Source organism: Homo sapiens, chromosome 21 (genome assembly GCF_000001405.40).
Source record: "Homo sapiens chromosome 21, GRCh38.p14 Primary Assembly".
Classification (NCBI taxonomy): domain Eukaryota; kingdom Metazoa; phylum Chordata; class Mammalia; order Primates; family Hominidae; genus Homo; species Homo sapiens.
The window spans coordinates 15,431,356-15,456,726 of record NC_000021.9 but is presented as its reverse complement, the minus strand read 5'-3'; the positions used below and the strand labels follow the sequence as shown (position 1 = coordinate 15,456,726).

The 25,371-nt window shown below is 37.6% G+C and overlaps 1 long non-coding RNA gene across 5 annotated transcripts in view, besides 2 other annotated features; it reads left to right on the top strand.

The window, feature by feature from the left end:
• Positions 543–837: an enhancer, noted in NCBI's record as "tiled region #2263; HepG2 Activating DNase matched - State 5:Enh". NCBI's record gives its function as "activates a minimal TATA promoter and a strong SV40 promoter by Sharpr-MPRA in HepG2 cells {active_cell/tissue: HepG2}" and the evidence as "EXISTENCE:reporter gene assay evidence [ECO:0000049][PMID:27701403]".
• Positions 11,030–11,799: an enhancer, noted in NCBI's record as "OCT4-NANOG-H3K4me1 hESC enhancer chr21:16817247-16818016 (GRCh37/hg19 assembly coordinates)". NCBI's record gives its function as "activates a minimal SCP1, AML or CMV promoter by ChIP-STARR-seq in primed H9 embryonic stem cells {active_cell/tissue: H9 hESC(primed)}" and the evidence as "EXISTENCE:reporter gene assay evidence [ECO:0000049][PMID:30033119]".
• LOC101927745 (uncharacterized) overlaps positions 12,071–25,371 on the top strand; it is a 75,707-nt gene continuing 62,406 nt past the window's right edge. For all 5 annotated transcript variants that reach the window (NR_188238.1, NR_188237.1, NR_188235.1 and 2 more), the window contains exons 1-2: positions 12,071–12,353; positions 12,646–12,703. This is a non-coding gene — a long non-coding RNA (uncharacterized LOC101927745). The remainder of the gene's footprint in view (positions 12,354–12,645; positions 12,704–25,371) is intronic.

Genomic DNA, 25,371 nt, shown 5'->3' with positions numbered 1-25,371 from the left:
CACTGACAACTGAGGCAACTGAGGTATCCTGTTTCTCTCATTGGGACTGACTAGGCAGTTGGCGTATCCCATGAAGAGCCAGGAAAAGCAGTGTGGAGCGACGGCCCACCCGGCCACATGGAGCAAGGAGAGCTCTCACCCCCAGCTAAGGCAGACAGTGAGTGATTGTGCTACCCTGCCTGGGAAACCACACTTTTTCCATGGATCTGTGCAACCCACGGATCAGGAGATCCCATCATGAGCCCACGCCACCAGGACCTTGCGTCCCAAAAACAGAGCTGTTCAGATTCTCAATGGTTGCTTGGCTGGAGACTACCTAAGATGACTGAGCTCCCAGGGGCATAGGCGGTCGCCATCACTTCGGCTGCCTGCTGCCTAAGACTACTGAGCTCCCCAGGGTTGGGGGCGGGGGTGTGGTCACCATCACTGCCGCTGCCTGGTGCCTAAGACGACTGAGCTATGAGGGGGTGGGGTGGCTGCCATCACTGCAGCTCCAGTCTGCCATTTTCCCCTGCTGGGGTGGGGTTTGGACCCAGGAGGAATTCCCCACAGTGCAGCACAGTTGTTGTGGCAGATTGTGGCAACACGGCCTCTTTAGGCTGGACCTTGAACCATCCCTCGTCATCAGGCAGGGCCTCCCTGTGAGAATTTCAAAAACTCCAGCCAGGGGTTTATGGACAGAACTCTGATCTCCCTGGCACAGAGCCCCTGCGGGAGGGGTGGCCACAGTCTCTGCGGATCAGTGAACTTATTCTTTTCCCCTGCTGACTCTGAGGAATCCAGGCAGTCTGGACGAGAGGGAGATCCCCCCAGTGCAGCGCACCTCCTCCACCAAGAGGCAGCCAAACTGCTTCGTTAAGTGGGTCCCTGATCCCATGCCTCCTGACTGGGCGAGATCCCCCAAAAGGAGTCACCAGACACCTTATACAGGAGTGTTCTCGCTGGCATCAGCTTGGTGCCCCTCTGGGACAGAGCTCCCAGATGAAGGAGCAGGCAGCCATCTTTGCTATTCTGCCTCCACTGGTGACATCTCCAGGAATGATGGGAGGGAGCCAAGCGAATAGGGTATGGAATGGACCCCCAGCAAATGGCAGCAGCATGACAGAAGAGTGCCTGGCTGTTAAAAGAAAAACAAACAGAAAGCAATAATAACAGTATCAACAAAATGTCCTCATAAAAAATCCATCCAAAGGTCAGCAGCCTCAAAGATTAAAGCTAAACTCGTGAAGATGAGAAAAAAATCAACAAAAAAAATCCTGAAAACTCTAAAAGCCAGAGTGCCTCTCTCCTCCAAGTGATCATAGCACCTCTCCAGCGAGGGCATAGAACTGGGATGAGGCTGAAATGGATGAACTGACAGAAGTAGGCTTCAGAAGGTGGGTAATAATGAACTTTGCTGAGCTAAAGGAGCATGTTCTAACCCAATGTAAAGAAGATAAGAACCGTGATAAAAATTACAGGAGTTGCTAATCAGAATAACCAGTTTAGAGAGTGTATTAGGGTTCCCTAGAGGGACAGAACTAATAGGATATATATATATATACACACACACACACATATATATACACATATATATATTACGTAATAGGATTATATATATGATATTATAGGATATATATAGGGGAGTTTATTAAGTATTAACTTACATGATCACAAGGTCCCACAATAGGCTATCTGCAAGCTTGAGGAGCAAGAAGAGCCAGTCCAAGTCCCAAAACTAAAGAACTTGAAGTCTGATGTTTGAGGGCAGGAAGCATCCAGCACAAGAGACAGATGTAGGCTGGGAGCTAGGCAAGCCTTGCCTTTTCACGTTTTTCTGCGTGCTTTATATTCACCGGCAGCTGATTAGATTGTGCTCACCAGATTAAGGGTGGGTCTGCCTTCTCCAGCCCACTAACTCAAATGTTAATCTCCTTTGGCAACACTCTCACAGACACACCCAGGATCAATACTTTGCATCCTTCAATCCAATCAAGTTGACACTCAGTACTAACCATCATGGAGAGGAGCATACATGACCTGATGGAGCTGAAAAACACAACACGAGAACTTCACAATGCAACTGTAAGTATCAATAGCCGAATAGACCAAGCAGAGGAAAGAATTTCAGAGCTTGAAGACAATCTTGCTGAAATGAAGACAGGCAGACAAGATTAGAGAAAAAAGAATGCAAAGGAACAAACAAAACCTCCCAGAACTATAGGATTATGTAAAAAGACTAAACCTATGACTGATGGGGGTACCTGAAAGAGACGGGGAGAACGGAGGAACCAAGTTGGAAAACATACTTCAGGATATCATCCAGGAGAACTTTCCCAACCTAGAAATACAGGCCAACATTCAAATTCAGGAAATCCAGAGAACCCCAGTAACATACTCCATGAGAAGATCAACCCCCAAACACATAATCATCACATTCTTCAAGGTAAACATGAAGGAAAAAATGTTAAGGGAAGCCAGAGTGAAAGATCAGGTCACCTACAAAGGGAAGCCCATCAGAATCATAGCAGACCTCTCAGCATAAACCCTGCAAGCCAGAAAAGATTGGGGGGTCAATATTCAACATTCTTAAAGAAAAAATTTCCAACTCAGAATGTCATATCTGGCCAAATTAAGCTTCGTAAGTGAAGGAGAAATAAAATCCTTTTCAGACAAGCAAATGCTGAGGAAATTCATTACCACCAGGCCTGCCTTGCAGGAGCTTCTGAAGGAAACACTAAATATGGAAAGAACAAACTGTTACCAGACACTACAAAAACACACTGAAGTACACAGACTAATGACACTATGAAGCAACTACATCAACAAGTCTGCAAAATAACCCCTAGCATCATGATTACAGGATCAAATTCACACATAACAATATTAACCTTAAGTGTAAATAGGATAAATGCCCCAATTAAAAGACACAGAGTGGCAAGCTGGATAAGGAGTCAAGACCCATTGGTGTGCTATATTCAAGAGAGCCATCTCACATGCAAAAACACACATAGGCTCAAAATAAAGGGATGGAGGAAAATCTACCAAGCAAATGGAGAGCAGAAAAAGCAGGAGTTGCAATCCTAGTTTCTGACAAAACAGACTTTAAATGAACAAAGATCAAATAAGACAAAGAAAGGCATTACATGATAAAGGTTTCAATTCAACAAGAAGAGCTAACTATCCTAAATATATATGTGCCCAGCACAGGAGCACCCAGATTCATAAAACAAGTTCTTGGAGACCTACAAAGAAACTTACACTCCCACACAATAATAGTGAGAGAGTTTAACACCTCACTGTTAATGTTTGACAGATCATTGAGACAGAAAATTAACAAAGATATTCAGGACTTCAACTCAGCTCTGGATCAAGTCAGTCTGATAGATATCTACATAACTCTCCACCCCCCAAAAAACAGAATATACATTTTTACTGGTGCCACATGGCACTTAATCTAAAATCAGTCACATAATTGGAAGTAAAACACTCCTCAGCAAGTGCAAAAGAACTAAAATCAAAACAAGCGGTCTCTCAGACCACCGTGCAATCAAATTTGAACTCAAGATTAAGAAACTCACTCAAAATCACACAACTACATGAAAACCGAACAACCTGGTCCTGAGTTACTCCTGGGTAAATAATGAAATTAAGGCAGAAATCAAGAAGTTTTTTGAAAGCAATGGGAACACAGAGACAATATACCAGAATATCTGGAACATTGCTAAAGTAGTGTGAAGAGGGAAATTTATAGCACTAAATGTCCACATAAAAAATCTAGAGAGATCTCAAATTGACATCCTAACATCACAACTAAAATAACTAGAGAACCAAGAGCAAACAAACCTCAAAGCTAGCATAAGACAAGAAATAACCAAGATCAGAGCAGAACTGAAGGAGATAGAGACAAGAAGAACCTTTCAAAAAAATCAATAAATCCAGAAGCTGGTTTTCTGAAAAAATTAATGAAATACACAGATCACTAGATGGACTAGCAAAGAAGAAAAGAGAGAAGAATCAAATATACACTATAAAAGAGATAAAGGGGATATCACCATGGACCCCACAGAAATACAAGCAAACATCAGAGAATACTACAAACACCTTTATGCAAACAAACTAGAAAATCTAGAAGAAATGAGTAAGTTCCTGGACACATGCACCCTCACAAGACCGAACAAGGAAAGAGTTAAATTCATGAATAGACAAATAACAAATTCTGAAACTGAGACAGTAATAAAGCATACCAACCAAAAGAAAGCCCAAGACCAGATGGATTTACAGCTGAATTCTACCAGAGGTAAAAAGAGGAGCTGGTACCATTTCTTCTAAAACTATTCCAAAGTTTTGAGACTTCTAAAACTATTCCAAAGTTTTAGAGACTTCTCCCTAACTCATTTTATGAGGCCAGCATCATCCTGATACCACAACCTGGCAGAGATATAACAAAAAAAGAAAACTTCAGGCCAATATCACTGATGAACATCACTGCAAAAATCCTCAGTAAAATACTGGCAAACCAAATTCAGCAGCACATCAAAAAGCTTAGCCACCACAATCAAGTTGGCTTCATCCCTGGGATGCAAGGCTGGTTAAATATACACAAATCAATAAACGATTCATGACATAAACAGAGCTAAAGACAAAAACTTCATGATTATCTCAATATACACAGAAAAGGCCTTCAAAAAAATTCAGCATTCCTTCATGTTAAAAACTCTCCATAAACTAGGTATTGATGGAACATACCTCAAAATAATAAGAGGTATTTATGACAAACCCACAGCCAATATTATACGGAGTGGGCAAGAGCTGGAAGCAAAATCAGCACAAGACAAGGATGCCCTATCTCAACACTCCAATTCAACATAGTATTGGAAGTTCTGGCCAGGGCAATCAGGCAAGAGAAAGAAATAAAAAGTATTCAAATAGAAAGAGTAGAAGTCAAACTGTCTCTGTTTGCAGATGACATGATCCTATATCTAGAAAACCCCATTGTCTCTGCCCAAAAGCTTCTAAAGTTGATAAGCCACTTCAGCAAAGTCTCAAGATACAAAATCAATGTGTAAAAATTATAAACATTCCTATACACCAACAATAGACCAGCAGAAAGCCAAATCATGCATGAATTCCCATTTACAATTGCTATAAAGAAAACAAAATACCTAGGAATATAGCTAACAGCAGAAGTGAAGGACCGCTTCAAGGAGAGCTACAAACCACTGCTCAAGGACATCAGAGAGGACACAAACAAATGGAAAAACATTCCATGTTCGTAAATAGGAATAATCAATATCATGAAAATGACTATACTGCCCAAAGTAATTTATAGATTCAATGCTATTCCTATTAAATTACCATCAACATTTTTCACAGAATTAGAAAAAAACTACTTTAAAATTCATATGGCACCAAAAAGAGCCTGTATAGCCAAGACAATCCTAATCAAAAAGAAAAAAGCTGGAAGCATCATGCTAACTGACTTCAACTACACTACAAGGCCGCGTTAACCAAAACAGCATGGTACTGGCACAAAAACAGAAACATAGAGCAATGCAACAGAATAAAGAACTCAGAAATAATACTGTGTGTCTACAACCATCTGAGCTTTGGTGAACCTGACAAAAGCAAGCAATGGGGAAAGGATTGCCTACTTAATAAATGAAGCTGGGATGCTAGTCATATGCAGAAAATGGAAACTGGATCCCTTCCTTACGTCTTATACAAAAATCAAGTCAAAATGCATTAAAGACTTAAATGTAAAACCCCAAACTATAAAAACCCTAGAAGAAAATCCAGGCTATATCAATCAGGGCATAGGCATGGGCAAAGATTTCATGATGAAAATGTCAAAAGCAATTGCAAACAAAAGCAAAAATTGACAAATGGGATCTAATTAAACTGAAGAGCTTTGCACAACACCAACAACAAAACTGTCATCAGAGTGAACAGACAACCTACAGAATGGGAGAAAACTTTTGCAATCTATTCATTTGATGTAGGTCTAGTATCCAGAATCTACAAGAAACTTAAACAAATTTACAAGAAAAAACAAACAAATCCATCAAAAAGTGGGCAAAGGACATGAACAAACACTTCTCAAAATAAGATATTTATGTGGTCCACAAACATATGAAAAAAAAAGCTGAACATCACTGATCACTAGAGAAATGCAAATCAAAACCACAATGAGATACCACCTCATGCCAGTCAGAATGGTGATTATTAAAAAGTGAAGAAACAACAGATACTGGCAAGGCTGTGGAGAAATAGAAACACTTTCACACTGTTGATGGGAATGTAAATTAGCTCAACCATTGTGGAAGACAGTGTGGTGATTCCTCAAGAATCTAGAACCAGAAATATTATTTGACCCAACAATCCCATTACTGGGTATATACCCAAAGGAATATAAATCATTCTATTATAAAGACGCATGTATGCTTATGTTCATTGCAGCACTATTCACAATAGCAAAGACATGGAATCAACCCAAATGTATGTCAATGATAGACTGGATAAAGAAAATGTTGTACATATACACCATGGAATACTATGCAGCCATAAAAAGGAGGGAGACCATGTCCTTTGCAGGGACATAGATGGAGCTGGAAGCCATTATCTTCAGCAAGCTAATGCAGGAACAGAAAACCAAGCACCGAAGCACCACATGTTCTCATTTATAAGTGGGAGCTGAACAATGAGAACACATGGACATATAGAGAACAACATACACTGGGGCCTGTTGAGGAGGGATGGGGGAGGGAGAGCATCAGGAAAAATATCTAATACATGCTGGGCTTAATATCTGGGTGATGGGTTGATAGGTGGAGCAAACCACCATGGCACACATTTACCTATGTAACAAACCTGCAGGTCCTGCACATGAATCCCAGAACTTAAAATAAATAAAAAAACAAGCAAACAACTTAAATGGATATTTCTCCAGAGAAGTTATCCAGATGGCCAATAAGCACGTGGAAAGTTTCTCAACATCATTATTTATGAGGGAAATGCAAATCAAAACCACAATGAGATACCACTTCACATCTGCTAGAATGGCTATACATAAACAAAATAAAATGGAAAATAACCTCTGTTGACAAGGATGTGGAGAGATTGGAACCCTCATACATTGCTGATGGGTATGTAAAATGGTACAATCCACAGTGGAAAACAGTTTTGGGGTTCCTTAAAAAGTTAAACATAGATTTACTACATGATCACAGTTCCATTCTTAGGTGTATACCTAAAAGTACTGAAAACAGATATTCAAACAAAGACTTGAACATGAATGTTCACAGCATCACTATTCACAGTAGTGAAAAGATATAAAAAACCCAAATGTCAATCAATGGAATGGCCAAGCAAAATGTAATATGTGTGTACAGTGGAATTTAGCCATGCAAGGGAATAAAATACTGATAATGCTACAACATGGATGAACCTGGGAAGTATATTAAATAAGAGAAGCTAGAAATCAGACATCACATTTTATGTGATTCCATTTGTATAACATATATAGAACAGGTATGTCTATAAAGAGAGAAAGAGCACATCTGTGTTTGCCAGGGTATAGGTAGTTGGGTAATGGGAAGTAACTGTTTAGTGTGTGTATTAGTCCATTCTCAAGCTGCTAATAAAGACATACCCAAGACTGGGTTATTTATAAAGGAAAGATGTTTAATTGGCTCAGTTCTTTACAGTTGGCTAGGCCTCAGGAAACTTACAATCATGGCAGAAGGGGAAGCAAACATGTCCTTCTTCACATGGTAGCAGCAAGGAGAAGTACCAAGCAAAAGTGGGGAAAGCCCCTTATAAAACCATCAGATCTTCTCAGAACTCACTCACTATGACAAGAACAGCATGAGGGTAACTTCTCCCCTGATTAATTTACCTTCCACCAGGTGGCTTCCATGACACATGGGGATTATGGGAATGACAATTCAAGATGAGATTTGGGTGGGGACACAGCCAAACCATATCAGTGGGTTTGGGATTTCCTTTTGGGGTGATGAAAATATTTTTAAACTAGATAGAGGTGATGGTTCCACAACATTGTGAAGGTAATAAATGCTACTGAATGTACAGTTTAAAATGGCTAGTTTTATGTTATGTAAATTTTACCTCATTTTTAAAAACAAAAAAATACACCCACTGGAAATGTATCAGTATAAACGGGGCCTAATGTGGGATTGTGCTCCAAATTCATATCACCCCCTGACTGGTAGTGCTAGTTGATGAATGCCATAAGAAAATACACATATTTTTGGAGGAATACACTCTCAATCTAAGACTCAGAATAGCCTCACAGAAAAAGTTTCATCAAGCCTAAACTCACAACAACAACAAAAATAACAAAACACAATGGAAAATAACATATTGAGACCAAGAAAGAGGATAAACAACAAAGAATACAAAGAAAAGAATCAGATGCATTAAGATCTCAGATATGGAAATTACTGCATTTAGAATATAAAAAGTAAGAATACTGTTTTTTCTTTTAAAATTTAAAAATTTTAAAATCTGTACTAAATTTTTAAATCTCTACTTTTTTTCTTTTAAAATTTAAAAATTTTTAAGTCTCTACTAAAATTTTTAAATTTTAAAAGAAAAAAAGAAAGGCATCAAATGTGTGAGGAAGGCATAAGACTGTGGAGACTGATCATGCAGAATTGCTAAAAAATTTTAAAAACAGAACTTACAGTAGTAAAAAATATAATTATTGAGATTAAAAACTCAATGGTAGAGTATCAGATACAGCTGAGGAGAGAATTTACAACTGGAAAATACAGCAGAAGAAATGACTCAATATAACATGGGTAAATATTTGGAAAACATGAAATAGAGGTTAAGGGACATTACAGTAAAGTTAGAAGGTCTGGCTTATTGCTTAGAATTTCACAAGAGAATATAGAGAATGGAGAAAAGTCAGTATAGGAAAAAAAATGGCTAAAGGCTTCCCAATATTGGTGGCAGACTAGATTACATCAGAAGACCTCAGTGAAATATAAGTAGGTAGCAACAAAAAAAACACACACCTGAACACACCTTAGTGAAATTTCAGCTCACCAAAAACAAAGCAAATATGAAATAACTACAAAGGAATGAAAGCAGCTACAATGGAAGCCAGAAGATGATGAAAAATGTCTTCAAAGAGTCAAGAGAAAATGACTATCAAATAATTATATACTAGGTGAAACTACTTGAAATAAAGCCATCATCAGATAAACAAAAGCTAAGTTTTTAGGAGCAAATCTTCACTAAAGGCTATTGTAAAGACTGTACTTCATTAAAAAAAGAAAATATACAAGAAGAAATGTGATGCTTTTAAAAAGCCCAATAATAATGCTGGGCAGGGTGGCTCACCCTGTAATCCCAGCACTTTAGGAGGCTGAGACGGGCAGATGACCTGAGATTGGGAGTTCAAGACCAGCCTGACTAACATGGAGAAACCACATCTCTACTAAAAATACAAAATTAGCAAGGCATGGTGGTTCATGCCCATAATCCCAGCTAGTTGGGAGGCTGAGGCAGGAGAGTCGCTTGAACCCGGGAGGCAGAGGTTGCAGTGAGCCGAGATTGTGCCATTGCACTCCAGCCTGGGCAACAAGAGCAAAAATCCATCTCAAAAAAAAAAAAAAAAAAAAAAAGCCCAATAATGAAGAAAATACTGTACTTATTTAATTTAGAAAACTGAAGTTTGGAGTGTTTCCCCAAATCTACAAATAGCAATTTAGAGTTGGTGTTAATATCCTGTTCTATATGACTCAAAGCATGTATTCTCCTATAATATATATATAAAATACTTGACCCGGCTGCATAGGTTTGCTTGGGCTGCCATAACAAAATATGATAGACTGGGTGACTTAAACAACAAATCTTTATTTTTTCATGATGCTGGAGGCTGGGAAGTCCGAGATCAAGGTGCTGGCTGATTCCGTTTTTTGTGAGGGCTCTCTTCCTGGCCTGCTGATGGCCCCCTTCTTGCTGCGTTTTATACTGGGGATTGGAGTTTCAACATATGAATTTAGGGAGGACATATTTCAATCCATAGCATCATCCTTCCACATTTTTTAAATTCCTGAAAGTTAGTTATAAACCCGATGATTGAATTCACTCTAATTCTCTCATATTTAAATGGGAAATTTTGTGCAAATTATTCCTTAGTCTCCATACCAAATTCCTTGGCAACCCATGTTTTCCCTGCTGTGTATCAGGAAGCTAACCCCACTGAATCTTTTTACTGACAGGTTACAGCTGATATTTTGCCACAGGATGTACTGGCAGGAGCTGACTGAGTTGCAAGGAAGTAAAGCCAGGGTATTTCTTCTCTGCTGCCCTGTGGCTTCAGCACCACGTCTTGGGCAGCTGCTGCATTTCTCCAAAACTACAGCTCCAACTGGGCGGCCCCTCCTCTGTGCTTCCAGTTCTCGCTGGGTTCTGTTAACATTATTTCTTCTCATTGTCCCTTCAGCCCAAGAGGTTGTAATGTTGCTAGTCCCTGGGTAAATTATTTATTTGCTCCTAAAACTCTGCCTATGCCTTTTTGGAGTGCTACCGTTAACATATCTTCACTTAAACCATTTTAAGGGTGAATCCCATTTCTTACTGGGACCCAGGACCTAACAGGCCTTGCTTACATATTGCATTTAAATTAAATCTCAGGTTTATGGTACTTACATGCCATTCTACATTTGTATTTCAGAAAATATATATGTACATAGACATCCATTTCATTTAGGGAGAGAAAAAGGAAAAGGATAAAGTAAGATGTCAGAAGGAATGAAAGGGACCTTGCAAAACTACATAGAGAAATCGTCCCTTATGCCTTTAGAAAAACCTCACATTACCAAAGGGTCTCTGGCAAAGAAGCCATACAGAAAAAAATGCCCTTTTGTCTTCTTATGCATAAGTTGAACATCATTACCCAAGTATTGTCCATTCCTTTAAGGGATAGGTTATAGGAGGGAATTGTTCTTTTTCTTTAGGATTTTTTTTTTTTTCATTTTTTTCCCTTGGAATGAGAATAATTAGAAATTTTCAATACTTTAGTTTAAAATAGGTCATTTCCCTTTCACATTGTCAGAAAATTCGTACTTCCCTAAATTGGGTGATTGGGTGTATTCAGGGAGTTCCTCTATGCAGTGTAGCTGAGTTTCAAAATCAGTGTCATTCTCGGTGTTTGAAATGTATGGTGGAAATCTGTTGGGCTTGCTTTGTAAATGCAGAGCTAGGTCAGGTGAAGCCCAAAGGCAGTAGGCCAGAGTGGGCCCCAGGAATACCTCCAGCAGAGAAGCAATTCAAATGGACAATGAGCAGGTGCAGGCAGGTTCAGATGCTGTGATAGAAAGGTCAAGAAAGGGGATCTGAAGAGAGGAGAAAAAGGACAGAGAAGGAACTTTTCTATGGTGGCAGGCCTTGTAGCTGGGACTAACAATCTGAGAGAAACTCTTTTTTCACATACTAGACGAATTCACCAAGAGTATAGGAAAGTGCCTAAGAAAGAATGGCTCTGAACTTCTGCTAATTCATTGAAAATAAATTTGTGCTATTCATATAATATAGGTAGATTATATCCTTAAATTTTCCAGTGGTATTTTAGATGTCCCAACCATGTGTGCCACTGTGAAAGGCCGAAGTCAGAGACAAAGTAAGTCAGGGAGGGAGGAAATTGTTTCTAAGTTTTTTGTCCCCTGGGTCTTTAAGGAGGTGATTACTGAAAAGCAAAGCCAGATTTAATAGCAGGGACTTCCGGGGTAGAGTGTTCCAACCCTGGCTTATTCTCTATTAAACACCTTGAAAATTAAAAGCATGACTTTGTCACTTGGTATTCCCAATGCCCAGAAGAAATGTCCTGTAATCGGTAAACAGTGGATGTTTGTTGACTGATTGCAAAAACACTCACATGTCTGACTCCTCCTGTCCTTGTGCTCCTAGATGCACCTTAGCAATAATGGACACAAGGGGACTGGGCCTTGCCTGGACCACCCACCTGGCTTGGGCCATGCCAGCTGCTCTGCTGCAGTGTGTGGTTGCTCAAGTTTAGCTACAAGGCCATATAAGAGTCCTTCCAAGAGGAGGATGGGGCGAACTTTCCAGCTAGAGTTTGACCTAAGGAAGGATTTCAAAACTTACCCCTGCAATGCTTTAACAGCATTCAAGTCAAATGGAGGCTTTTCATACAGTGAAATCCACAGTAGCTCTCTGTGGTATGTAGGGCTACTAGCCAGATATACCTGAAAGCAAGCGCTTGCCTTGCTCTCCCTCTGCCACAGAACGATGACACAGGGATAACAAAGGGAAATACCAGGGAATGTCAAGTCAAACAAATCGTAGATCTTCTCTGGCGGCTTCTTTGACCTTGTTCTGAGGTAAGTCACACCAGCAGGAGGGGCATTCAGGATAAGCGTGTTTGTCATTTGAGGCTTCTATCTGCTCCAAAAGGAACTCTAAATCTTCCTTATGAAGGCACTGACATTTAGTTTGGCACATTTTCAGATACTAGAAAAAGAACCATGACTTGACAAAAAAAAAAAAAAAAAAGTTTAGTTAATACAAAGCAGAAGAGGCAATTATTTCAAGCCATTTAGAGAATAATTTGAACATAAATGTGCAAATATATAAGTTTTTAGGTGCTGAGATTTCTTTTTTTTTTCCTGTCAGTGAACACCGTGTACATCAAGGAAGATAATTACAACTTTTTCAAGTCTTCTAAAATCGAGTAAGTTTTCTGTTTTTTTTTCCTTTGCAGTATCCAGGGATTTTGTTTGTTTGTTTATTGCCACATATGGTTTCTGTTTCAAGGTCTAAGAGCATCATATCAAGCTTTATCACATCTGAAGTTGAAGGGAGTAGTTCTTGCAGACAATCTATAGCATCCATTTAAGAACAGATAGAAGTCTTAAATTTGGCATATGTTTATCTGATGAACCTCACTGTTTTTGTTCCAAGTTTCAGTTAAATCTCATCTGAGGGAGCAAACCTATTTGTTGATTTGATGGGGGTTTTATACTCTTTTATGTGACAAAATAACCCAGAGATTCTCATGACTTAAATGTAAGGGATCCAGAAAGCCTGGAGATACAAAAACATTTTCCAAAATAGATGTGCAGTTTGTACTTGTTTATATACTTGCTGAGTATTTTGCTTTCTTCTTTGTTTTTAAAGGGACACCTAATTCTATGTTCCCACCCTTTTCTTTCTTCTCCAACTTGTACATTCTGTAACTTATATTGTCTTGACATTTTGAGGCAATATTCCATCCCTCCAAGTCTTTGATATCATTTTACTCATAAAAACTAGCCCATGAATGAAATCAGAAGAGGAAAGTTCATTTTTGTAATTCCAGCAACGAGACATCTTCCACATTCATTACCACCCAAGTATCAGTTATTTGAAGGCAGATTTAAAAAAAGGCCTGATGTCAGAAACATTAGTATGTCATGCCCAAATCATATGGAGTCTCTTGAACTCAAAGGGGAAAAAAAAGGCAGCCTGCTTTTAGACCTTCTGCTTTCCTTATTAACTTTGACCTTAGCTATTTCTCAATCAGCTGCTTACACATCCATTTTATACACTAGAGGTGTAGAAAATTTCATAAGAAAAGCAACCAGCATAAAAATGACTTTTTAAAGAAAGTTCAGTAACCTCCATATAGATCGAATATGACATGTTCAAGTCACTGACTTCATTTATTAAATGCACTTCCCTGACGTGTTAAATAACTCTTTCTCCTAAGTGCAAAGGGTTTGTGTGGCTCCTCCTGCCCCCTCTCTTCCCATCTCCATGATTTATGATGTTCTCCTGACAGGCTTCATATGTCTAGGGCCCATTAGGTAGGAAGGTAGTTTTGTCTCTGGGTGAGTCCTGCAGTCACCCCGGGGTGAGCATTACTGTTTGGCAGTCTCCCTGGAAGTTTACGGAGGAACAAACAAAAAAGAGACTCACCCGGAATAGAGGTTTTAGGGAGAGATGGCCCCTGTTTGTGAAATAAACTTTAGAGTTTTGTTTCTGTGTAAACTTTTTTTTTTTGAGGTGGAATTTTACTCTTGTTGCCCAGGCTGGAGTGCAGTGGTGCAATCTTGGCTCACTGCAACCTCTGCCTCCCGAGTTCAAGCAATTCTTCTGCCTCAGCCTCCTGAATAGCTGGGATTACAGGCACCCGCCACCATGCCCGGCTAATTTTTCGTATTTTTAGTAGAGACGGGGTTTCATCAGGTTGGGCAGGCTGGTCTCGAACACCTGACCTCAGGTGATCCACCCGCCTCGGCCTCCCAAAGTGCAAGGATTCCAGGCATGAGCCACCACACCCAGCCAACTTTTATTATTATTATTTTTGTTGTATAAATCCACAATGTTCTCTTTTTTAAGAGGATGTGGAAACTGTTTGAAAAAGATTTGGGAAAAAATTGGAGCTGCCTAAGTTGTAAATTGGGGCCACTTGTCAGAACCCTGAGGACTGAAAAGTATGTCTTGAATTAAAATATGGTCTTGTGCCTGTGAATCAGTAAAGGATGTTTATAGATGTGAAATGTTCTAATGTTATCTGGAAACAGCTGCTAATCTTGGATGAATATCAGGTGTGTGTGTATAAAATAGACCTCCATACACACAGAAAACTGAAGCTGCTAGGAAGGATCAACTGTAAGTTAAGTATATGAATAATTCAAGGTGCCTATCTTTTCTAAACTTCTTTCCTGTAGAGTTTGATGTCTGAGAATACTTGGGAACACTACCACCACTTCTCTAAGAATTGTTACTTTTAGGGCTGATGTTTAAGATGGAAATACTCAGATAGATTAAGATTTAGTCTGCAAGTATTTTGCATGAATTCCTTTAAAATGGGGTTGCAAATTTTTCAGTCTTTTCTCTTTCCTTTGAATGGATTTTATTACTAGATCAAGAGCTGCCAACAGCTAGGCCCAGTGAAATGTGGAAATCACTCATGTCTTCCTACCTTGTAATAAGGTGAGGTTTCTGAATACCTTTTAGTTAAAGGAATAATAATAATTCTTAAAAACATAAAAATACTAGTTACTGATTGTTACCTGTGTCCCGAGGCCTAGTTGCTAACACATTGTCGTGATGAAAGAGCTCAGATCAAATCTAAATTTTGTGTTAGAAGTCCATTGCTGTATTAATCATCTGGAATAAAAATGTCACAGTTATGATTTTTTGGAAACTGCTGCACTTAACTTCCAAACTGTTGCTTTTTAAAAGGCTAATTCGGGGTTGGGTACATTAATGTCAATGTCCTATAAAACTGCCAGCTAAAAAAAATGTCAGCAGAGACATTTTTTCTAGCCGATGTCAGCACAAAAGGGTGCCTCAGTTGTTTCATCTCCAAACAGCTGCATGCTTTCATTGACATTTGGTGACCTTTCTTTGTGCACCCAGCCTAACCTCTTAGGTTATTTCCTGGCCTCCCTTCTGTGACCTTTGACCAAGGCCAACCTTTAGCTGGAGAATGTGACATTTTGTTCTCCTCTGGCTGACATGTGATGCTCTCATTATTCAAAGGTATGTGAAAATAATGACCCCAAGTGACCTTTGAGTTTCCTTTCATTTATTGGTTGTTTTTGGTGCTTGTTCAGCATGTACTCGTCTAGGTGAAGGGGGGTGAAAGTGAGGACTGGGGTAGCCTTAGACGGCCCATATCTCATTTTGTTTCATTTCTAGTCTCTTTCCTTCCAGACATGCTGCTTTACTGTTTATGACTAAACCTTATTGTTTTCTGTATACTGATCAAGGGACAAATTTGACCTGTGAATAATGGGTCTTTTTGAAATTTAAGAAATTTGGTTTAGTGAGTGAAGCTCGTTGTGCGTTTCTATCTTTTTCCTACCAAGGACATGTCTGCATTTCTGAATATAATTTTCCATCTAGTAATGGTAACTCTTTTATATTTGGAAAATGAATAACATATAGAATGGTTGTAATATGTGACAAACAACTAAAAAATTTGTCATTCATGTTTTATTTATATAATTCAGTTGGATATTTGAAAGAGTCACTGTCTAAAAAATAATTTGCATATTTTATCACATAGTTATAATTAACTTGGTTATGCTTATAGATTTAATGTTACATTAATTTAAATATGTATGTATATTAATATAGAAATGTGTACAGTGGGTACTAACTATGAAGAAGGAAAATTAAATTTAAGCACTGATAAAATAGTGGTCATAAATTGCTTAAGTTAGATTTGGCATTTCAGAAACAAATTAGAGGACATTTATCTATAAGAATTTAGAGATATTTAAAATTATATTTCTCTCAAAGTATTTCACTAATTTGTGACATCTGAGACAAAGTATATTTCCATTTAAAAAATAGTAAAGCGAGGAATTATCATGCTCTTTATATAACATATATTTGCATGTATTTTGCTCCTAGTCAATTCTCTTCTCTAAGGTATTTACCTCTAGAATGGATCCAACTGCTGTGGAAAATTGAGGATAAGAGTTTAGATTGCTTGGCCAAAATTTAAGCGTGGTCATTAACTCCGGGATTTCATAACTTTCCAAGGCAAGCTGTTTAGGTGCTGATGATGAGTGACTAGAGAATTATTATAAGTACACTAACAATTACAGTCTTCAGCAAAACACAGGGCCCTCTATCTAGACACATTCAGATAAAGAAAAGGCCATCATTCCTGAATTATGGTACCCTCTAATTTAATATCCAAATACTAGAAGAAACTATAATTACACCATTTTACCAAACTGTTATTTATTTTTTAGTACAGTAAAAAATAAGACCTTTAATCCCATGGCACATTTTGTACTTATGATTCAGTCCAGTGGTTAAGCCTGAATTTAAGAAACTTTGACACAGTGCATTACTTTCCTACAAAAGACCTAACATAAAACTATCCCTTCTCATTTCTGAATTCATGTGATTAATTTCAAAAAGGACACAAGAGAGGCAGGTGCTTTAAGAAACACGTTCTGGAGAATGCATGCTTTTATTTCTAATTTGCAAAAGGATGGCATATGGGTTCTGCATTCAACAAATATTTGATAGCTAATTTATAGAGAGAAATCTACTAGACACATGGAGATAATATGAATCAGACATGGGTCTGGCCTTCAAGGAAGATGCAATCTGGTAGAAGAAAAAATCTTTATAACACACTGAAACTTCTAAGTACCACAAGAAAAAAAAATTCCTATAGTTCCATGAATAATAAAGAACTCCAACTTAAATCAACTTGTTTCACCTATTTTTATAGCTCTATTTAAAGCATTCTAAAATTCCATTCACAGATAAGTTTTTGATGTATCTGTAAAATTCATCTCTCATGTCGTTGTCCTTGTGGCTAATTAGTGTATATTGCTTTATCATCTACCAATCATCCAAGCAAACTTTACAAATAATTAGATTTAGGCCCATTAACTACTCTAGGATGAAAGTTGAAGCTAATGCCAAAGACGAATTTCATATTTCTCAAAAAATAACACATTTAAACTCCTACATTAGGGTTTGTTTTTGTTTTTGTTTGTGTTTTTTGAGTTTTTTTTTTTTTTTTTTGCTACAAAACAAACTGTAGAGATAATAATTAGAGTATGAGATTAAGCTCATTTAATTAATGTAACCAAGAACACAAATAAAAAAAAAAGTGGGGTACTTATGGAATGGCTACATGTGTACTCCCAAGTTTTATCAATACATTCTGCATGAATATTTGCTTCATAAAATTTTTTTTTCTCTGCCTAATACTGAAAATTTAGTCTTTTTTCCTTTTGTAACCAATGATATGCTTCAAAGACTTAGAAGGAAACCTCAAAAGTGACCCCAAAGAATGTTTCTTGTGATTTGCTGTGTGCAGACATGATCTCTCAGAATTGTAATGGCTAATTTCTTTCCATTCAAATAGGTTTAACCCAATAAAGGAGCAAGTTTAAAATATTTCATGGGTCCTGTACTGAACTGAAGAGAGGGTATTGCATTGATTAATAAACAGAGATGTATGCAGAGTAGATGTGCTGCCAGGGTAAAAACAGTCAACGAAAGGAAACTTTAACAGGAAAACAACAAAAGCAAATAATTGATCAGTATTTTAATAACTGCATACCTTACATTGGAGGGAATATCTTCATTCTGTTATTTTGTAGGGTTTTAAAAATAAATTATTAAATTAGCTTTAAAAATGTTTTGAGTTTCCAATTTGGAAATCCCTGGTGCATTTATCTCCTTTATTCATTTGTTATTTTTTTATTTTTAGAAGCAACATTAGAAACTTATTTTTGCACTTAGCTCATTTTGTTCTCTGTAAAGGTTCTAACTTGTTGGGCATTTAATCACTATTAAAGACAAATGTTTTCACTTGTTCAAAAAAATTTTCACCTAATAATAAAATATAACTTGCCACATAAATGTCACCCTTCATGCACAAAGTGCTTTAAAGTGATAACGGGAAACCAAGTTAAAAATGTTTAAAAATCATGTCTGGCAGGAGGCATAAGTTTCCCTCTCCAAATCCCAATAACCTAAAATTGAAGAGAGCCAAGGCCTGTTTCCTGCTTTGTGATACTGCCTTATTGTCATTCAGTTGTATTTAACCACAAAGGCCCCATGCTCCATGTGGTAGATTCCTAAACAGTCATAAATCTACCTCTTGACCAAGTATGGTTTTTCAGCATGTGTTTTGTTAAGCAACAGAAACGTGCACACAAGAACAGTAGGAAAGAATTACTCATATCTAGGTTCCCCTAACGGAATCCCCAGGTCTTTTGATACCTAAGGCCCCAAACATGGCCATGATTTCTAGATTAGTATAAATTCCAAAAGTAACACAGCAAACTCTAAGAGCAGAAAAGATGTAGAAGATTTCAGTTTTGTGCAGTTTTTAAAAAATGAATGTTTCATGGGTTGTCTGAGTAAATTTCTCTATGGTTCTTTACATAACTACAACTTTGTCTCCTTTTCACCTCCAGAGTGAGACATATTGTAATTCTGGCTGATTTCAATGAAATTTCCTGTTGCTCCTTGAGAAGGAGTCTAGATATCACCAATACTTTTGTGCCATTATTAATTTAAAGGCACATATACTTCTTTTATCTCCTGGAATGAGGATTTATTTTTATTTTTTTAATCTAAATCTACTTAATTGTTAATGATTGCTTTGTTTTGGATCCATTAATTCCAATGTAGACTATTATTTAACTTTGAGGTGACAGAAGAAATGATTTATAATGGAAGCTGGAGAGGAACAAATAGATTAATTTTCTAAACCATTTCTAGTCAAAACGACAGTCTCATAAGCTATCAAAATTCACTGTATTTTGTTAATAGATCTCTTTATTTTAAAATGAGTAAGAACATATTTTGAATATCAGATTTTTATCCTCTCATATCCAACTGATTCCTTATTTTACTGATATGAGTGAGCATATATTCCCTTAAGAGTGAATTTTGAAGTATTATTTTAAAAATTAACAGTAAAATTCTTCTGATACTATACTGGAGGTTTTTGTTCCCAAAGATCAATAAATTACTCTATAGGACATAATAACTCAATGTGTATCCTCAAATGAAATTGAAATTCCTTCCATATACATAAAATCTGCAAAGGAATTTATTTCAGTAGGATAATAGTTAATTTATAGTGTGAAGTTCAAAAAGGCAGAAGAAGATAACAACTCAATTTAGGTAAAGATGTAGCACATATAAGCTGGAGGAAAATCAATGTCAAATAGAAAACCATATCTGAAATTCAGATCATATTTAGATGCACAAAAAACTGTTCAGAGCAGTAGGGGGTGATTGTATTCCAATTCAATTTCCTTTACTCACATCAACCAGTCTTGGTTTGAAAGTCAATCATATGACTTACCAGGCTCTTGAAAGAGTAGAAAGGGGGCAGCCCATGAAAGGGACAGGGAACTGATAACATAACATTTCTAAGACCATGAATTACAAAGTTTGGGCTTAGCATGCAGTTTGGGTAGGTTAAAAGAAAGTCATTAAAAAATAAAAAAAAAAAATGCATTTTGTTCTTTTTGTGTAAGTGATATCATTCACTGGAGATTTTTTTTTTTCCCTGAAGAAAGGGAAAAGCCAGATAAAATATTCTAAGTTTTATACAATCCTTTAAGAGACTATAACCAGAAACGAGAGATTTTCTAAGGCTTGGAGTTGTTTGTCAGGGGTTTCCTGTGAACAGGATCAGGGTGGGCACAGCAGGGCATGCATTTATTGCAGTCCAGCACAAATGTCAATATATATTTTTTGGTTATGGGAAACTCAAAGAAGTTGTCTGCATCAAACTGCCTCTGGGTTTAATTTTGAGGAAATAGTACTGTTACTAGCGAGGTGAACTTGGAGAAGTAAGAAAGCATCACAAACTTGGGCCTGGAAAAGAAGTAGGTTTTGTTATGTGGTTTTTTTCAAAACCCAAAGGACAACACATAATCTGAAGAGGATTATAAACTGGAGACTTGGGGACAGGTCTAATGAGTTATTTGTTGTTCCCAAAGGCACTTGACATGTATGTGGGATTGGACTACTACCAGCTTTATAAAACCATGATAGCTTATAGTTGACTCTGTAAATATTGAAAAGCACACAGCAGACTCATATGTCCACAGATTCTTGGAAAATTTTGGGTTGCTATGGTGTCTTTAATTTCCTCTTCAATATGACAACTAACAAAAGCCATATAAGTTGTTTTGGCAGACATTTAAGATACTAGGAATCTTTTATTGTAAACTCTTCTGTAATTTTCTTTGAATTTTCTTCTATTCACAATTAGGAAAATCACAAAAAGGAAGACAACTAAATATCTTTATTATAGAGGCATTGTCACAGCCTTAGGTGACTTCCAGTGTATTTGTTTATGCAATAATATCTTTTGATATTTTCAAAGTGTTGGTCTTAAAAATATTTCTATCATAAAGGAGCATAAGATGACATTAGGGACAGAGATAGTTATAAAGAAATCACTAGGAGTTATGCTGTAAATATGTATATAAGATCTTTTCGTAATGCAGATTACATAAATTTGAATTAAGTGACTTTTAAGAACATTGATTATTGATCTGTTAAACTATTGGAGCCATTAGGCCCTTTTGTGTAAATAACTATTTTTAAAATTCATGTAGCTTTATAATAAAAATTCTTATGAAAAACACTTATGGTCTCTTGCATGCTGAATAGGCACTTTTCAACATTAAATGTCTTGGCCAAAAATGCATTTTAAAATTAAGAATCATTTAAATTATACAACCACCAAAAAAAAAAAAAAAAAAAAAGAAGACCTCCTGGAATTACTCAGCATGCACTTTAGCACTATATTACTTTAAAATGGTTAAGACACTCTGTTTTAAATCCCTGTAAACATATCTTACATATTTTTAAAGCCATTTTATGTTTTACTGATTACAGTATATACTCTGCCAAAAATACCTATATATACTTTTTATTGTAGTGCTAATTCCTATTTTTGAACATTCAGAGTTCTCAAGGAGCCCTATGTAATGATAGCTGTATTCATCAAAACACATCATAGAAATATATCATCACTGAAATGAAATATGTTTAGTCTATGGATGAAAATTGAGCCTGATTCTTTGTAGCTCTTTGTGATATCTCATCTTAGTGTGACAGAGAAAACTAGAAAGTGAACTTCCACTTGCAAAATTTTCAGTAAGGTCTATTAATGAATTAATGACTTATCTTTGCCTAGACTGTAAGCTCTTTGAGGACAGGAGCTACAGCTTATTTGTTTTTAAGTACCAGCAATATTCTGCTTGATTAATTTGTGGTGAATGCATGTATATAAAAGGAAGAAAATCCTTTCTCTATCCAAAGGAAAGGATTTTAGGTATCAGAGAGAAAATACATCTTTTCAAGGAAAGATATTACATAGAATGTGTCTTAGAATCATAGAATTTCAGAGTTGGAAGATACTCCTGAAAGTAAAAGTGATTATATATACACATTCAATGCCACATTCATTCAATTTTTATAAATTAGAAAAATTTGGAGATTCTCTTTTTTTTTTAAGCTTCATTCTTTTGGGCTAGTCAACAGAAAATGATACCCCAAGGTACGGCACTTTTGCATGCTGAGCACTTTGTATTAAAGGAAGTTGGAAGGACTTAGAAGCTGCCCCAGAATTGAAGTTTCTCTGGCCCTCCCTTAATTTCTCCCTCCAAGCACAGGCAGGAGCTCTCTCTGAAGTTTTCTTATCTGACTAAGGGAAGTTCTTCCAAAAAACACAATTGCCTTCGATCCCCTGTTCCCCTCACTAACCAGGGAATATTAATCATGGAAAAGGAAACTAAGACCATGACCACACCCACCCAAACAGGCTTTTTATCTATTCCTATGAGAACTGTTACCTGAGGGACTTTATCTCCATAATAAGACAACCTCTGTTCACAGTGCAGTCCTGCCCCTTACCTTTCTGTAAATTGTAACCATGTACCCAGAGCCTGGAGGAAAATTATCCCAGGCAACTGTTTGTTCTTCAGACCCATTAATCTCCTCTAGAAATCATTTTCTCTTCTACTACAATTGCCTATATCTACTACTTTCCTCTTTCCTATAAAGAGGACATTTAATCTTCAACCTTCTAGCCCTTGAGTTTTATACCTTATGTGACTCCCATGCACTTATGCATTATAAATTTGTTTAACTTTTCTCCCATTAATCTTTCTATTGCCAGTTTACTTTGGCAGATTCCGTTATCAAACTTGCAGAGGAAAAGTTTGAACTTCCATCCAATTTTCTCCCTCTCGACCAATTTGCTACTTTTCATCTTTTAGTGTAAAGGAAATAGCTCTCTACTTTTATTGTTTACCTTATTTGGCACAAAGTACATAGATAATTTTTACAGATTAACATTACTTGGGCATTGAAAGGGAAATTGTTTCTCTAAACCTTTTGCCTCACTTGGTTTGAGCACTGTGTTAATGAGGACAGAGCAATGTATTTTCTCTCTGTAGCTACTCTTTGGCCTCTTAACCTTTTTCAGTGTTCTCAGTGAGAGGTCAGGAGAGAATAGAAGAATCTAGCACCACTGAAAAAGCAAGTCACTGCGTAGCCCTACTCTCAGTATTTCATATACATCACTGTTTTACAGGAAAAACAGTATGATAATAATTCCTTGCAGTTCAGTCCTGAGCACTGCAGTACTACTATTATGGGATGCATAATGTCAGACTTGGCCTTTGAGGTGTTCCACCTCCCCATCCTAGTTCCCATTCAATAAATGTTGGCGAATATACAGAATGTTAAGGGTGGGGAATTACTATTATAAAATCATCCTAAATCATCACAAATACATCCATATAGGACAATTTCAACAGGCCAATACCCCAAGTTTAAATATGTTTTTAATGTCAGGTGAACTCCAAAAGATGCTTACCTTTCTTCGAGGCCAAGATAAACACCCAGTATTTTGTAAATGTTTGCACTGGTATGAGAGTCTTGCTAGAATTTAAACCAGCCCTGGGCCCCCAGCTGGCACAAACACGGGGGTGGGAAGCATAGCTGAGGCAAGCTTGCTCACCACCAATTCTTCTCAGGTCACTGAGCTCCGTAATTACTGAAGAATCAACATTCAGTGCCAATTGTCAGGGCCTCTCTTGAGATTCCTTGGCCCTGCGCTATTTTAATGCCATTTCTTCTTGCCACCTGCTTTACATAGAACCTGATGGTTTTGTTGTTGCTGTTGCTGTTGTTTTGTTGTTGTTGCCATTGCTTTTGTTGTTGTCGTCTTTATTAGAGCATCATTTTGTTTCACATTGTTGTATGCTAAAAATAATTTTAAACCTATAAGTATCTGATGTATATTAGATGCTTAATAGAAAATGGGATCTATAACACTGGAGAGAATATCACTTAGTAAGAGCCCAATAGATAGGAATTGCCCTTTAAAAATGGAATCTAATAGGCAAACACAAAGCATTGCTGCACAGTAGCCCAAAGTAATTTCTTAGCCCAGTGGACTTCAGTAAGACAAACACATCTCAAAAATCATATCGAAGAGGCCATATGTGTTGGGGACTAGAATCTTAAAGGTAAGTCTGGTTTTCACCCAGTAGGCCCTAATGGTACAGCTAGACCAGAGTTTACAGCTGGACTTCATTGAGATTGTCCAGAACCCAGGCAGTCCCACTTCTTGAATATTTCAAATTATCAGCAGGTCTAAAAGGATTTTTGAAATAAGTGCTTGCTTGCTGTTAAATAATACTATACTAAATACTGACTAGCTTATTCTTCCTAAAGTTTCACAGCCACACTGGGAAATAAGCAAGCAGGATTCATTATCCCCACCTGAGCTATGAAGAAATAAGATTTAGAGAGATTAGAGAGATCTTGTTTTTGTGTTTTTCCCACACTAGTAAACCATTATTCCTCACTGTCCACACACGCATAGCAATGAGTTCACTCCCAGCACTAGAGCTCTATTCTGTTTATGAGTGAAGACCAAATGACTCTTCTGAGGCAGAGGCACTATTTTATACTTTAAAAACAAATACCCTGTCTGTGCTGGCAAAGCCCCTCCAGTTCTCTGTATGCTTGCATGAGAAGAGGCAAAAGGGAAGAGCTCAGAGGAGGAGACTGTGTTCCGTCCTCACCAGTTGGAGGGCTCTGCCTGGGCCACCTCACTTCTTGGAACCTTGGTCTCCTCATCTGTAAAGTGAGGAGATTGCTGATATGGTTTGGATGTTTGTCCCCTCCGAATCTCATGTGGAAACGTGATCCCCAGTGTTAGAGGCGGGGCCTAGTGGAAGGTATTTGGATCATGGGGGTGGATCCCTCATGAATGGCCTGGTGACCTCCCCACGGCAATGAGTGAGTTCTCACTCTATTAGTTTACTCAAGAGCTGATTGTTTAAAGCAGCCTGGCACCTCCTCCTCTCTCTTGCTCCCTCTCTTGCTGGATGACACACCTGCTCCCTCTTCATCTTCTGCCATAAGTAAAAGCTTCCTGGGGCTTCACCAGAAGCCAAGCTAATGCTGGTGCCATGCATATATCGCCTGCAGAACCATGAGCTAAATAAACCCCTTTTCTTCTTAAACTAACCAGTCTCAGCTATTCCTTTATAGCAACACAAAACACATTACACTAATGTAATGGCCCCACACTAAGGAGTGGCATTGGTTGATGCCCCCACACACCCAAATGCACCATGCTCTTTGGCTGCTGTACCTAATGCCTTCTTGTTCCTTTTAAAACTTTCTCATGGGAAAGAAAGGAAGCTGTTTCACCAAGAAATTGATAGTGGGTACCAGCTTAAAGGGTTACTTCTCAGAAATGTTTGCATTAAAATTAATATCTGGAAGGTGATATTTTAGTAGCCATCATCAATATGTGTATGGTAAGGAAGAACATTTTTGTGGAGTAACATGGGAAGTGTGTTGGTCACCTAG